At 48.9% G+C, this 15,442-nt stretch overlaps 1 long non-coding RNA gene and 1 pseudogene across 2 annotated transcripts in view, besides 1 other annotated feature; both read left to right on the forward strand.

Moving 5' to 3' along the window:
- Positions 69-1,067: an enhancer, noted in NCBI's record as "H3K4me1 hESC enhancer chr16:30218380-30219378 (GRCh37/hg19 assembly coordinates)". NCBI's record gives its function as "activates a minimal SCP1, AML or CMV promoter by ChIP-STARR-seq in naive H9 embryonic stem cells {active_cell/tissue: H9 hESC(naive)}" and the evidence as "EXISTENCE:reporter gene assay evidence [ECO:0000049][PMID:30033119]".
- LOC101929894 (uncharacterized) overlaps positions 2,149-15,442 on the forward strand; it is a 36,477-nt gene continuing 23,183 nt past the window's right edge. Inside the window, exons 1-3 of one of the 2 annotated variants that reach the window (XR_002957884.2) lie at positions 2,149-2,255; positions 7,419-7,448; positions 14,835-15,078. This is a non-coding gene — a long non-coding RNA (uncharacterized LOC101929894). The remainder of the gene's footprint in view (positions 2,256-7,418; positions 7,449-14,834; positions 15,079-15,442) is intronic. The other variant, XR_001752367.2, reaches the window with a different exon arrangement.
- PLA2G10JP (phospholipase A2 group XJ, pseudogene) lies at positions 11,230-14,940 on the forward strand (annotated as a pseudogene).

Below are 15,442 nucleotides of genomic sequence, written 5' to 3' on the forward strand. Positions count from 1 at the left end.
TACTACAAATTTTATGCATCTCATTAAACCCCTTCCGAACCTGTGTACTAAACTGCCTGGGGGCAGCTCTCATCACTGCTGTAGAACAAAGTCCCACATAGAGCCAATGGCCAAGAAACAGTTAATAAAATAACAGACGATGGTCCTGGCCTCTACTGTGAGTGAGTAAAGGGCTTGCCCTGCAGAGATTCAGTGATCTGGCGGGGGTTGCTGAGCTATGAGGAAGTTCAGATCTGGCTGCAGGGGTGAGGCTGTGACTCAGTCAATCACTGCCCATGCTCACAGGACACTGGCCAGCTTAGTCCCTGGGGGCAAGGATTTTACCCCCCCCCCACCTCCATTTCCTCATCTCTAAGATGTGAATAATCGTCGCCCCTGCCTCACAGGATTGAGCTGTGTAACCCCCCTCCCACCTTTTTTCTATGCCATCCACTGCGGGTCTGGGGCTTTTTACTGGAATGCAATACAAAGTCTGAGTCAAGGGTGCCTTCTGTTGGTTGCTGAGGGCGGAGGCAGAGCTAGTTGCCTGTGGTCCTGCCAGTCAAGGGGCTTCCAGAGGAGGGAGGAGGGGCCTGTGGCCCTAGCATGTGAGCAGCTTCTCCTCTGCCTGGAAGCCGGACGCCTCAGCTTCTCCCACACTCCCACCTGCCCGCTTGCCTCTGAATTCACACAATTCTTGGAAGGCTTGGGAGACTCACCTTTACTCAAATGGTTACCTGTCTCGTGTCTCGTGCCCAGCTTGACCTTTTTTTTTTTTTTTTTTTTTTTTGAGTTGGAGTCTTGCTGCGTCACCCAGGCTAGAGTGCAGTGGCGTGATCTCAGCTCACTGCAATCTCCGCCTCCCGGGTTCAAGCAATTCTCCTGCCTCAGCCTCCCCAGTAGCTGGGATTACAGGTGCCCACCACCGTGCCTGGCTAATTTTCGTATTTTTAGTAGAGACAGGGTTTCACCATGTTGGCCAAGCTGGTCTTGAACTCCTGACCTCGTGATCTGCCCACCTTGGCCTCCCAAAGTGCTGGGATTACAGGCGTGAGCCACCATGCCTGGCCCCAGCTTGACCTTGAACTTTAAATAGTGAAGACAAAGAATGAGGAGGGTGGGGGGATGCCCTCCTTCCACAGGGCCCTGTGGCTTCCAAGCCTCAACCTCCTCTGGTCTCTTGTCTGTGGAGCCTCCTTCAAACCCAGGGAAACAAAAGCACCTGCCACGGGCTGCTGTTTTTCTAGGATCTTCTAGCGAAGCTCTGTAACTTCCCCTGAGAGCCATGAAACTGGGCTGGCTCCCAGGGTGATGGGACTCCAGCGTCTTTGTTCTTTCTTGTTCTATGCATCCATGCTCTGCTCCACCGCTGCCCCTTCAACTCTGCCCACACATATTACTCCAGACTGGCCCTGTGGTCAGAGCCTGGAATGCCTGGGCTGCTGGGGGCTTGCATGCAGGCTGCACTGGACTAGAAGCATTGGCGCCTTCAAGACTGCCCTGGGAAACATGACCTGCCCTGTTTCTGTCTAGTGAGTACCCATTTTTCCCCACTCACCGGCTCACTTCCCTTGGCTGGGTCAATTAGAAAAAGCTCTTCTGTTGGCCTGCCCTGCAGGGTGGAGTTCAGAGGGCAGCTCAAGAGCCCGGTGACAGCTCAAAAAATAAAAAAAGCCGCCAGGAGCAGTGGCTAATGCCTGTAATCCCAGCACTTTGGGAGGCCGAGGCAGGCGGATCACCTGAGGTCAGGTGTTCAAGACCAGCCTGACCAACATGGTGAAACCCCGCCTCTACTAAAAATACAAAAATTAGCCGGGTGTGGTGGCGGATGCCTGTAATCCCAGCTACTCAAGAGGCTGAGGCAGGAGAATTGCTTGAACCCAGGAGGTGGAGGTTACAGTGAGCCGAGATCCTGCCACTGTACTCCAGCCTGGGCGACAGATCACGACTCCATCTCAAAATAAATAAATAAATAAATTATACATTGGGCTCTTTTGCCTTTTATTCTTGTGCTTTCTAATCACAACTAAACACTAAACTCACATCTTGGCTTTGCAGATCACTCTAAGCTTGGCTGCAGCTGTGGTGCTGAGGAGGCTAATAGAGAAGCTCCCTCGTTCTCAACCCCACCCCTTCCTTCCGGGAGCAAACCCAAGTCTGGTCCCGACTCCGGATCCCTCCCACATTAGACCTACCACACCCTCAGGGCAGACAACAGCTCCACACACCCCACACTCAGCCACCAGGGCAAGGGAGCAAAATTCCAGAAAGCTCAGGTGAGTACTAGAGTGGAATGGCCCAGGGCGCCCTCACCCTGCTCAGCTTTTGGAGCCAACATTCCAGCAGCCAAGGCCTCTGCCATACTGGCTGTTTCCCCACGGATATCCAGTTTCACTAGGGGAACTCCAGCCTGGCTTCCCTTCTTTCTTTTTTATTTTTGTTTTTTTGAGACAAGGCTTGGCTCTGACACCCAGGCTGGAGTGCAGTGGCCAAATTGTAGCTCACTGCAGCCTCAAAATCATGGGCTCACATGATAATCACGCCTCAGCTTCCCTGGTAGCTGGGTGTACAGGAGAGAGCCACCATGCCCAGCTAATTTTTTAAACTTATTTTTAATTTATTTTTTATTTTTTTGAGACGGAGTTTTGCTCGTGTTGCCCAGGCTGGAGTGCAATGGCATGATACAGCTCACTGCAACCTCCGCCTCCTGGGTTCAAGCGACTCTCCTGCCTTAGTCTCCCAAGGAGCTGGGATTAGAGGCATGCGCTATCACACCCTGCTAATTTTGTATTTTTCATAGAGAAGGGGTTTCTCCATGTTGGTCAGGCTGGTCTTGAACTCCCGACCTCAGGTGATCCGCCCCACCTTGGCCTCCCAAAATGCTGCGATTACAGGTGTGAGCCACCACACCTGGCTGCCCAGCTCAGTTTTAAATATTTTTTTTCTAGAGATGGGGTCTTGCTGTATTGCCCAGGTTGGTCTCAAAGTCCAAGGCTCAAGTGATTCTTCCCCACTGGGCCTCCAAAGCTCTGGGATTACAGGCATGAGCCATGGTGTCCCCTCCTCATTCTGCGGAATCATCAGAGTTTTGTTCATTCCCACACCAGGCTCTGGCCCCCAGTACCAGCTCAGTTGCTCAATGGACCATGCTTGTCCTGGAGCCCAGATGGACTGTGGCTGGGCAGGTGGATCACAGGCCTGGCCGGCCTGGGAGGTTTCCACATGTGAGGGGCCTGAGGGGCTCAAGGAGGGGAGCATCGGGGAGAGGAGCCCACTGGGTGGAGGCTGGGGGTCACAGCAGAAAATGGTGAGACAAAGGGTGCTGGCTGGCAGGGAGACAGCACAGGCAGGCCCTAGAGCTTCCTCTGTGGGCGGCAAGCCACCCAGGCACCGAGGCAAGAGACAGAGGACACGATCTGTTCCAGTATAATAAAATATAAAACAAGAATAGTTATACCAGATATAGATCTTAGATATGATTATATATGAATATCATTAATCATTAGTTTGTAGCAATTACTTTTTCTTCCAATATTATAATAATCCTTGCTCTATAATCATAGCCTAGGAAAAACCAGGCCATACAGAGACAGGAGCTGAAGGGACATAGTGAGGTGTGACTGCAAGACAGGAGTGCGAGCCTTCTGTTATGCCCGGACAGGGCCACCAGAGGGCTCCTTGGTCTAGCGGTGACGCCAGCGTCTGGGAAGACGCCCGTTACCAGGCGGATCGTGGTCCAGCGGTAGCAAAAGGTGTCAAGAAACAACACCCGCTACTCAGCAGACCAGGAAAGGGGGGTCTCCCTTTCCCTGGGGGAGTTTAGAGAAGACTCTGCTCCTCCACCTCTTGTGGAGGGCCTGACATTAGTCAGGCTCGCCCGCAGTTATCCGGAGGCCTAACCGTCTCCCTGTGATGCTGTGCTTCAGTGGTCACACTCCTAGTCCACCTTCATGTTCCATCCTGTACACCTGGCTCTGCCTTCTAGATAGCAGTGGTAAATTAGTGAAAATACTAATAGTCCCTGATATGCAGAAATAATGGCATAAGCTGTCTTTCTCTTTGTCTCCTCTCCCTCTCTGCCTCGGCTGCCAGGCAGGGAAGGGCCCCCTGTCCGGTGGACACATGACCCACGTGACCTTACCTATCATTGGAGGTGACTCACATTCTTTACCCTGCCCCTTCTGCCTTGTATCCAATAAATAACAGCGCAGCCCGACATTCGGGGCCACTACCAGTCTCTGCACATTGGTGGTAGTGGTCCCCCGGGCCCAGTTGCCTTTTCTCTTGTCTCTTTGTCTTGTGTCTTTATTTCTACACTCTCTCATTGCCGCACTTAGGGAGAGACCCACCGACCCTGTGGGGCTGGTCCCTACAGAGAATGACTTGAACCTGGGAGGCAGAGATTGTAGTGAGGTGAGATTGCACCACTGCACTCCAGCTTGGGTGACAGAGCAAGACTCTGTCTCAAAAAAAAGATGAGGTGAGTTCAGTTTGGGAAATGTTGAATGCCAGATGCCTTTGGCCTATTCAGAGGGAGATTGCCGAAGCACAGAGGAGAGTTCATGACAGGGTTTAATTATTTTTAGTGCTCTCATGTCCCAGATTCGGCCAATTGGAGTCCCTCCACGCTGGTTCCTGTGTCCTGTGACATCACCCATCTTCTTTCTCCTTTTCTTCTTTCATAAGCCACTTCCTTCCTGGCATGACAGTGTGTTCCAGGACCATCTTGTACCTTGCACCTGCCCTGCCCTGGCCCTAGAATCAGCCAATTCTCTGAGGCATCCTGATTCCTTTTTGTGGGGGAACGGTTTGAGAACAAAATATACTACTACATGATACTATATTCTGACAGGAAAAAACACAGCCATAAGAAATAAAGCCATGGCCGGGCACAGTGGCTCCTGTAATCCTAACACTTTGGGAGGCTGAGGCAGGAGGATTGCTTGGGGCCAGGAGTTCAAGACCAACCTGGCCCACATAGTGAGCCCTCATCTCTATTAAGAAAAAAAAAAAAGAAAGAAGGAAAGCCATATTTGGATGAGTTTAGTCTTCTGATTATTTTTGCTGAAGTTTTAAATTATTATTATTATTATTTTTTGAGACAGAGTCTCGTTCTGTTGCCCGGGTTGGGGTGCAATGGTGCAGTCTCAGCTCACTGCAACCTCTGCCTCCCAGGTTCAAGCAATTCTCCTGCCTCAGCCTCTTGAGTAGCTGGGATTACAGATTCCTGCCATCACGCCCTGCTAATTTTTGTATTTTTGTTAGAGATGGGGTTTCTCAATGTTGGTCAGGCTGGTCTCAAACTCCCGACTTCAGGTGATCCGGCTGCCTTGGCCTCCCAAAGTGCTGGGATTACAGGGGTATATTTTATATTTAAAGTATATTTAAAAATTAAGGGCCAGGCTCAGTGTCTCACGCCTGTAATCCCAGCACTTTGGGAGGCCGAGGTGGCTGGATCCCATGAACTCGGGAATTTGAAAGGCACAAGAGCGAAACTCCGTCTCAAAAATATATGTAAAATATATTTTATGGCCAGGCATGGTGGCTCACAACCGTAATCCCAGCACCTTGGGAGGCCGAGGTGGGCAGATCACCTGAGGTCAGGAGTTCAAGACCAGCCTGGCCAATATCGTGAAACGCTGTCTCTACTAAAAATACAAAAAATTAACTGGGCGTGGTCGTGTGCACCTGTAATCCCAGCTGCTCAGAGGCTGAGGCAGGACAATCCCTTGAACCCGGGAAGTGGAGGTTGCAGTGAGCCGAGATCGCACCATTGCACTCCAGCCTGGGCAACAAGAGCGAAACTCCACCTCAAAAACAAAACAAAATAAAACAAAACAAAACAAAACAAAATATATGTATATACACACACACATTATATGTAATATCTACTTTTAAATATAAACATAAATATTATAAAGCTTTTATTGCAATTGTTCATTTTAGAAACTTCAGAAAATACAAATTAGTAAAAAGAAGAAAATAAGTCTGTAATACCACTTTTAAGAACTATTTTAAAATCCTCTAGCTTTTTTTTGAGATATAATTTACATACCAAGACTTTTTTAAAAAAAAAAATTCATAATGGTGACTTTTTTATCGGACTGTATAGAATAAAGCTTGTTAAAATGTCTAAGATATTTTGTAATATATGAAAATTTCAGCTAAACTTGTGCTATAGCATCCCATGGTTTGAATATATTATTGAAAATCATTCCATAAACAATGGTTTGGTATATAGTTTTAACAATTCAAGGCTGGGCACAATGGCTCACGCCTGTAATCCCACCACTTTGGGAGGAGGAGGCAGGCAAATCACCTGAGGTCAGGACTTCAAGACCAGCCTGGCCAACATGGTGAAACCCTGTCTCTAATAAAAATACAAAAATTAGCCGAGCATGGTGGCAGGTGCCTGTGATCCCAGCTACTGAGGAGGCTGAGGCAGGAGAATCACTTGAACCTAGGAGGCAGAGGTTGCAGTGAGCCGAGATCTTGCCACTGCACTCCAGCTTAGGCGACAGAATGAGACTCCATCTCAAACAAAATAAATAAATAAAATAATTCAGCAGGATGAGGTGGCTCATGCCTATAACCCCAGCACTTTGGGAGGCTGCGGTGGGACTATTGCTTTTGCCTGGGAGTTCAAGACCAGCCTGGGCAACATAGAGATACCATGTCTCAGAAAATATATATATAATTAATTTTAAAAAAGAGAATTCATTGATGATTCTGTATTTACAAATATATTCCTGCATCATTTGTTCATGGTAACCAGGAAATTGCAATGCATAAATACATGCTGTCATTTCCAAAGCGGCTCTCTTCCAGAATTGGTACTGATTCTAGTAGACTTTTCATTCTGATGTTAAAAATATAATTAATAGAAATGTCTTGTACCTAATAGCTTTTTTCCCCACAACTCCCCAACCCCCTCACTCTAGAGGCCTTAGTAGTCTAATTTAATCAGCTTAGTCTGAAATATAATACTACCTTGGCATCTTGTTGGCCTAGTATTTCTTACTCTTTTATGGAATGAACTGTGCAATTGTTTTGTGTGGCTAAAAGGTATTCTAGGTCGAGTATAGTGGCTCACACCTGTAATCCCAGCGCTTTGGGATGCCGAGGTGGGCGGATCACCTGAGGTCGGGAGTTCGAGACCAGCCTGGCCAACATGTTGAAAACCCGTCTCTACTAAAAATACAAAATTTAGCCAGGTGAGGTGGTGTGCATCTGTCATCGCAGATACTCAGGAGGCAGAGGCACGACAATTGCTTGAACCCAGGAGGCAGAGGTTACGGTGAGCTAAGATTGCATCACTGCACTCCAGTCTGGGCAACAGAGTGAGACCCTGTCTCAAAAAATAAAAAACAAAATAAATAAATAAAAAATAAAAGGCATTCTAATTAAGTTGTTGCTTTTTTTTTTTTTTTTAATTCCAGAGCGGACTGATGTACTGGCCCTTAGTACAGGTGAGTTCCGCCTGCTCAGTAATATGAACTCAGGGCTTTGGTTTCCATGTGGCCCTAATGGACTCACTCTCCCTGTTCCAGCTAACCAACTTCAGCCTTGTTCCTGTTCAATGGAGAACAGCTTACGCTGGAGTCTGTGGTTTTCTCTGGGCCACCTTCATCTGTTTTTCCCAGCAGAGCGGTGACGGCACATTCAAGTCAGCTTTCACCATTTTATATACAAAGGGGACCAGTGCCACAGAAGGGTCCCCGGAGAAATGAGAAGTCAAGGACTCTCTTAAAGGGACCACATTTTGACCTAAAATGCACAGAATTGCCTGCAGACAAAATATTTGATGTGCCAATTATGCACTTCATTTTGAGGAATTACTACTATTTATAGACCCACTTTTAAAAAAATTATCAATGATTATTTTTTAATTGTATTCAGACATTTTTTCCTGATCTAGTCTGAAATATTACTTCTCTGATATTTTGGTTAATATGAATAACAGTGGCAAAATGGCATTTTAGAATTATTAATATTTCTAATATTTTAATGCAAGTTTCAGGAAACTTGGTTTCTTGGTTTTGATTGTTTACATTTCTATTCTAAAATCTCAGGTTATCTCCTGAACACTTTTGGACAGATGAAGTTTTACACCAAAAAATAGTTCTTAGAGTGAATTTTAATTTACATAGAACTCAATCGAAATGAAGATTTAATAACCAGATTTCTTTCCCCAAAACATACATAATTTGTTATTTTGATACTAAAATTTAGTAAATACCTTTTTTTTTTTTTTTTTTGAGATGGAGTCTGGCTCTGTCACCCAGGCTGGAGTGCAGTGGTGCCATCTTGGCTCTCTGCAACCTCTGCCTCCTGGGTTCAAGCGATTCTCCTGCCTCAGCCTCCCAAGTAGCTAGGACTACAGTCGCCCAGCACCACGCCCAGCTAACTGGTGGTGGTAGAGACAGGGTTTTACCATGTTGGCCAGGCTGGTCTCCAGCTCCTGACCTCGTGATCCGCCCTCCTCAGCCTCCGAAAGTGCTGGGATTACAGCAGTCAGCCACTGCGTCCTGCCCCCAAATTTGCTTTGCATGGAGAAAACTCTAACAAGTCCTCTTGAACACAGTTTTCTGATAACCCAGATCAATGAACTACCCAGGCTTCACCACTATGCGATATAGGCATGTGAGAAACTCGTACTTATACCCCCTCAATACATTAAAACTAAATATATATATATATTTTTAAATCAATGGGCCAGGTGCAGTGGCTCACGCCTGTAATCTCAGCACTTTGGGAGGCCAAGGCGGGTGGATCACTTGCGGTCAGGAGTTCCAGATCAGCCTGGCCAGCCCGCCTCTACTAAAAATACAAAAATTAGCCAGGCGTGGTGGTGCATGTCTCCCACCACGGCTGGGAGGTGTGCCCAACAGCTCATTGAGAACGGGCCATGATGACAGTGGCGGTTTTGTGGAATAGAAAGGGGGGAAAGGTGGGGAAAAGATTGAGAAATCGGATGGTTGCCGTGTCTGTGTAGAAGGAAGTAGACATGGGAGACTTTTCATTTTGTTCTGTAGTAAGAAAAATTCTTCTGCCTTGGGATCCTGTTGATCTGTGACCTTACCCTCCCTCCACTATTGTCCTATGACCCTGCCAAATCCACCTCTGCGAGAAACACCCAAGAATGATCAATAAAAAAAAAAAAGAGTTCTGGAGATCAGTAAAAAAAAAAAAGAAACAGGGTTTCTCCATGTTGGTCAGGCTGGTCTGGAACTCCTGACTTCAGGTGATCTGCCCACTTTGGCCTCCCAAAGTGCTGGGATTACAGGCATGAGCCACTGTGCCTGGCCCCAAATGTGTTTTACATTTTCTTCCTATTTGATTCATCTTTGTCCTGCAACATAAATATGCTACTTTTCTACCGATAAAAAGACAAAATGGAATTTAAATCTGGCCTGGACTTCTCAAAAAAGTCAGTGTGATGAAAACATGTTCTAGATAAAACAGAAATGAGACTGGGCATGGTGGCTCATGCCTGGAATCCCAGCGCCTTCGGAGGCCAAGGCAGGAGAATCACTTGAGGCCAGGAGTTTGTGAACAGCCTGGGCAACATAGTGAGACCCCAGATCTACTAAAAATTTAAAAATTAGCTGGGCATGGTGGTGCATGCCCATATGTCTGGAGGCTGAGGCAGGAGGATCGCTTGAGCCCAGGATTTGGAGGCTGCAGTGAGCTATGATTGTGCCACTGCACTCCAGTGTGGGTGACAGAGTGAGACCCTGTCTCTAAAAAAAAAAAAGAGAGACAAGATGATCAGGATGAGCGCAGTGGCTCACGCCTATAATCCCAGCACTTTGGGAGGCCAAACCAGGTGGATCATATGAGGTCAGGAGTTCGAGACCAGCCTGGCCTAGATGGTGAAACCCCGTTTCTACTAAAAATACAAAAATCAGCTGGGTGTGGTGGCGCACACCTGTGATCCCAGCTACTCGGGAGGCTGAGGCGGGACAATTGCTTGAACCTGGGAGGCAGAAGTTGCTGTGAGCAAGATTACACCACTGTGCTCCAGCCTGGGCAACAGGAATGAGACTCTGTCTCAAAAAAAAAAAAAGGGGGGATGATCAAACACAATGCATCAACCTCCCGGAGCCATATAAACCCTAACCCTAACCCAGGAAGCAGGCAAGCCTGTGTGTGAGTTTCCACTCTATTGCTGGTACCACTCGGCTCTGGCAACCCGGAAGGCCACCTTCCCCTGTTGTTACTGTGTAAGGAGGAAGGAGCACTGCTTTGCAAGTCAGAAGCCTGGGTTGAAGCCTCTGCTCGGGTTCCTGCTGGCTGTGGGAATGTGGGGTTACCTTTCCCGGCTGGCCTCGTTTCCTTCATGTCCAATGCAGGGGTTCCAGTCACATGCATTGGGCACCATTACATGTCCAAGCTGTGCCAGGATCTAGAAAAATGGCTGGACTCAGGCCAAGGGGCCTTCCTGTCTGGCAGTGAAAATAAGAGGAGATACCAAGGGCCCTGAGTCTGGAGGGGAAGTCATGAGCACAGGGCAGTGCCAGGGCCCGGGAGCTGCCACAGAGGAGCCCACCTTGGTGACAGACACCTGTAGGCACATCCGTGATGCCCAGTGCCCAACACAGGGAACTGGACAAACGTTTCATGCACGACTCTTTTTTCCCTTCTTGGCTACCTTGAGGACCTTGATTATAATAGTTATCCTTTTTTTCTTTTTCTTTTTTTGAGACTCTTGCTCTGTCGTCCAGGTTGGAATGCAGTGGCAAAATCTTGGCTCACTGCAATCTTCACCTCTCAGGTTCAAGTGACTCTCCTTCCTCAGCCTCCCTAGTAGCTGGGATTACCGGTGTGCACCACTAGGCTCAGCTAATTTTTGTATTTTTACTACAGATGGGGTTTCACCATGTTGGCCAGGCTGATCTTGAACTGCTGACCTCAGGTGATCTGCCCACCTGGGCCTCCCAAAGTCTTGGGATTACAGGTGTGAGCCACTGAGCCCAGCCGGATTATAATAGCCTTTTCATGCACCAGGGGCTTTATACTCATTATCTCATTTCATTCATATGAGTTGAAGTCAGCTTACCCCCCATTTCACAGATGAGGAAACCAAGGCCCAGAGAGGTTAGGAATTCGTCCAAGGTCACACAGCTAGGAAGTAGGATTCAAACCCAGACAGCCAGGCTGTAACACCTAGGCTCTTCTCAGGCTCATGCCCTTCCCAGGGGTCTGGGAAGCCCTGACCTGCAGCCTGTCACCTTCGTTTACCCCCCAGCCTCCAGGATATTATGTGTGCACCGGCGTGGGATCCTGGAACTGGCAGGAATTGTGGGTTGTGTTAGTCCCTAGACTCCCATCGCCTATATGAAATATGGTTCCTTTTGTGGCTTGGGAGGCCATGGCCAGCCCTGCGATGCCATTGACTGGTGAGTGCATGCCTGGGACCAGGCTACAAAATCCCTCACACTCTGGGGTAGTCAAGGCTTATGAGGAAGTACCCAAAACTGAAGCTGGGGTTTGGTCCAGGGAGATCCCAGTGTGCAGTACTACTTTGCAGGCAGGCAGAGGCCTCTTGGATAACATGGCCAGTGAAGCCAGATCTTGGTACCAGCTGCCCCTTACCCTGGCCATGGGCTGAAAACGTTGCCTTAAAAAATTGGCCAGGAGCGGTGGCTAACTCCTGTAATCCCAGCACTTTGGGAGGCCGAGGTGGGCAGATCACTTGAGGTCAGGAGTTCAAGACCAGCCTGGCCAATATGGTGAAACCCCATCTCTACTAAAAATGCAAAAATTAGCTGTGTGTGGTGGCAGGCGTCTGTAATCTCAGCTACTGGGGAGACTGAGGCAGGAGAATTGCTTGAACCCGGGAGGTGGAGTTTGCAGTGAGTTGAGATTGCACCGCTGTATTCCAACCTGGACAACAGTGCCAAACCCTGTCTCAAAAGAAAAAAATAATAATAATATAAAGTGGCCAGGTGTGTTGACTCATGCCTGTAATCCCACCACTTTGGGTCGAGGCAGGAGGATCACTGGAGCCCAGGAGTTTGAAACGAGCCTAGGCAACAGAGTGAGACCCTGTCTCTATATTAAACACACACACACACACACACACACACACACACACACACACACACACACACACACACACACACACAAAGGCAGCCAGACTATGCACTAGGAACTGCCCTGGGAATCCCTTTGTGTTCTCACAACAATCCCATTTCACAGATGAAGAAACCTAGGCACAGAAATATTCAGTAACGTGTCCAGGTGCGGTGGCTCACGCCTGTAATCCCAGTACTTTGGGAGGCTGAGGCAGGCAGATCATGAGGTCAGGAGTTCGAGACCATCCTGGCCAACATGGTGAAACCCCGTCTCTACTAAAAATACAAAAATTAGCTGTGTGTGGTGGCAGGTGCCTGTAATTCCAGCTACTCAGGAAGCTGAGGCAGGAGAATTGCTTGAACCCGGGAGGCAGAGGTTGCAATGAACCGAGATCACACCACTGCACTCCAGCCTGGGTGACAGAGCAAAACTCCTTCTGAAAAAAAAAAAAAAAAAAAAGAAATATTAAGTAACTTGTCTGAGGCCACTTAGTTACCAAGACGTGGGAGCTGGGACTTGAACCCAGGCAGTCTGGCTGGATTCATGCCTGCAGCCTCTGCACTCCTGCTACTTACTGTGTGAGAAGCGCCTGTTCTGTGGAAGGTTGTGGGCTGAGATCTTTCCATGAGTTCCACTCATTTACCCCCAAGGCTGTTCTTAAAGACGGGCATGACAGTTATGCCCATTTTACAGATGGGGCCCTGAGGCTCACAGGGGCATGCCACTCACCCATTTCCACAAAGCTATAGTTAGTTAGCAGAGGGCAGAATTCGGCCGCCTCTCCCCTAGCTTGAAGGCTGTGATTGACACAGAGGTTTTTTTGTTGTTGCTGTTGTTTGTTCCTTTTTCTTTTTTTTGAGACAGGGTCTTGCTCTGTCATCCCAGCTGGAGTGCAGTGGTGCGATGTCAGCTCACTGCAAACTCTGCCTCCAAGATGCAAATGATTCTCGTGCCTCAGCCTCCCAAGTAGCTGGAATTACAGGTGTGCACTACCACGCCCAGCTGTTTTTTGTAGAGATGGGGTTAGTAGAGATTTGTTTTATAGAGACGGGGTTTCACCATGGTCTCTACTAAACCCTGTCTCTACTAAAAATACAAAAATTACCCAGGCGTGGTGGCACATGCCTGTAGTCCCAGCTACTCAAGAGGCTGAGGCAGGAGAATCACTTGAACCTGGGAGGTGGAGGTTGCAGTGACCCAAAATCATGCACTCTAGCCTGGGGTCTCGCTTTTGCCCAGGTTAGAGTGCAGTGGCACAATCATAGTGGCTCACTGCAGCCTCAAACTCCTGGGCTGAAGGGAATCCTCCCACCTCAGCCTCCCAAGTAGCTAGGACTATAGGCATGTGCCATCATGGCGAGTTAATTTTTTGTGTGTTTTTATTGTCTTGAGACAGAGTCTTGCTCTGTTGCTCAGGCTGGACTGCAGTGGCATGATCTTGGCTCACCGCAACCTCCACCTCCTGGGTTCAAGCAATTCTCCTACCTCAGCCTCCCGAGTAGCTGGGATTACATGTGTGTGCCACCATGCCTGGCTAATTTTGTATTTTTAGTAGAGACAGGGTTTCGCCATGTTGGTCAGGCTGCTCTCGAACTCCTGACCTCGTGATCCACCTGCCTCGGCCTCTCAAAGTGTTGGGATTACAGGCATGAGCCACTGAGCCTGGCCTGGTGAGCTAATTTTTAAATTTGTTATAGAGACAAGAGTCTCTCTTATGTTGCCCAGGCTGGTCTCGACCCCCTGGCCTCAAGTGATCCTCCCACCTCAGCCTCCCAAAGTGCTGGGATTACAGATGGGTGTCACCGCACCTGGCCTCCGAGGAGGATTTCATTATAAACCTGCCCTGAAGGGAGGGAATCCAATTTTACGAGAGGGTGTAGCCTGGTGAGGCCTGGATGACCTCCGGAGGCAGGGGCTTGTGCCTGGGCTGAGGCTTAAGGGACAATGGGCAGACATGAAGTTGCCCCAGGCAGAGGGTACAGTGTGGGCAAAGTCAGGAAGTGGCAGGGCTTGGATCACTCCAGGAAGAGAGAGGAGTCATGTGTCACAGGAGCTCGAGACCCAGAGAGTGAGGCAGGCAGGCAGGGACCAAGCTTGGGCACAGCCAGGAAGGCAGGACAGGGCATGGTGGGGCCAATGGAATCATTACCCAAGACGGGCATTTTCAGGGAAACAGCTTAGATAAGGCCAGGCGTACAGTAGCTCCCACCTGTAATCCCAGCATTTGGGGAGGCTGAGGTAGGAGGACTGCTTGAGCCTGGGAGTTCAAGACCAGCCTAGGCAACATAGACCCCATATCCACAAAAAATTTAAAAAAGGAGTTTGTGTTCCTGTAGTAGCATACTTGGGAAGTTGAGGTGGCAGTATCACTTGAGCCCGGGAGTTCAAGGCTAAAGTGAGCTGATTGAGCCATTGCACCCCAGCCTGAGCGACAGAGAGATATGCTGTCTCAAAGGAAATACAAATTAAAAAACCAGCCGGGCATGCTGGCGTGTGCCTGTAGTCTCAGCTACTTGGGACACTGAAGTGGGAGGATCGCTTGAGCCCAGGAGTTCAAGGCTGCCGTGAGCTATGATTGTGCCTCTGCAGTCCAGCCTGGGCGACTGCAGACTGCAGGACTTTTTTAAAGACCCTGTCTCTTAAAAAAAAAAAAATCTTAGATAAGAGGATGCTGTGCCTCCCTGGGGGTCTTCAGTCACCCATGGTCCTGGCAAGAGAGGAGGGCCAGGAGAGAGCTTCACCCACCTGCTGTCCTGCCCATGTGACATCCGCAGGTGCTGCCATGGCCACGACTGTTGTTACACTCGAGCTGAGGAGGCCGGCTGCAGCCCCAAGACAGAGCGCTACTCCTGGCAGTGCGTCAATCAGAGCGTCCTGTGCGATGAGTCCCCAGCAGCACCATGCCACCCACCCCGAGTATCCCCTGGGCACCCTGGCATAGCCAGATGACTTCCGTGCCCCTGTTGCAATAACCACTGCTTCCAAGTCTCTGTAGACCACCCCTTGGGTATATCTCATGTAAGTGATATTTATTTTATTTATATTTTTTGAGTCAGAGTCTCACTCTGTCACCCAGGCTAGAGTGTGCTGACGTGATCTTGGCTCACTACAACCTCTGCCTCCTGGGTTCAAGCGATTCTCATGCCTCAGCCTCCCAAGTGGCTAGGACTACAGACATGCACCATCACGCCCAGCTAATTTTTGTATTTTTTTCAGTAGAGGTGGGGTTTCACCAAGTTGGCCGGGCTGGTCTCAAACTCCCCACCTCAAGTGCTCTGCCCGCCTCGGCCTCCCAAAGTGCTGGGATTACAGGCATGAGCCATGGTGTCTGGCCCTAATGTGAGTGATCTTTAACACTGAGCACTTGAAAAAGAAAACCCTG

Source organism: Homo sapiens, chromosome 16 (genome assembly GCF_000001405.40).
Source record: "Homo sapiens chromosome 16, GRCh38.p14 Primary Assembly".
NCBI lineage: Eukaryota > Metazoa > Chordata > Mammalia > Primates > Hominidae > Homo > Homo sapiens.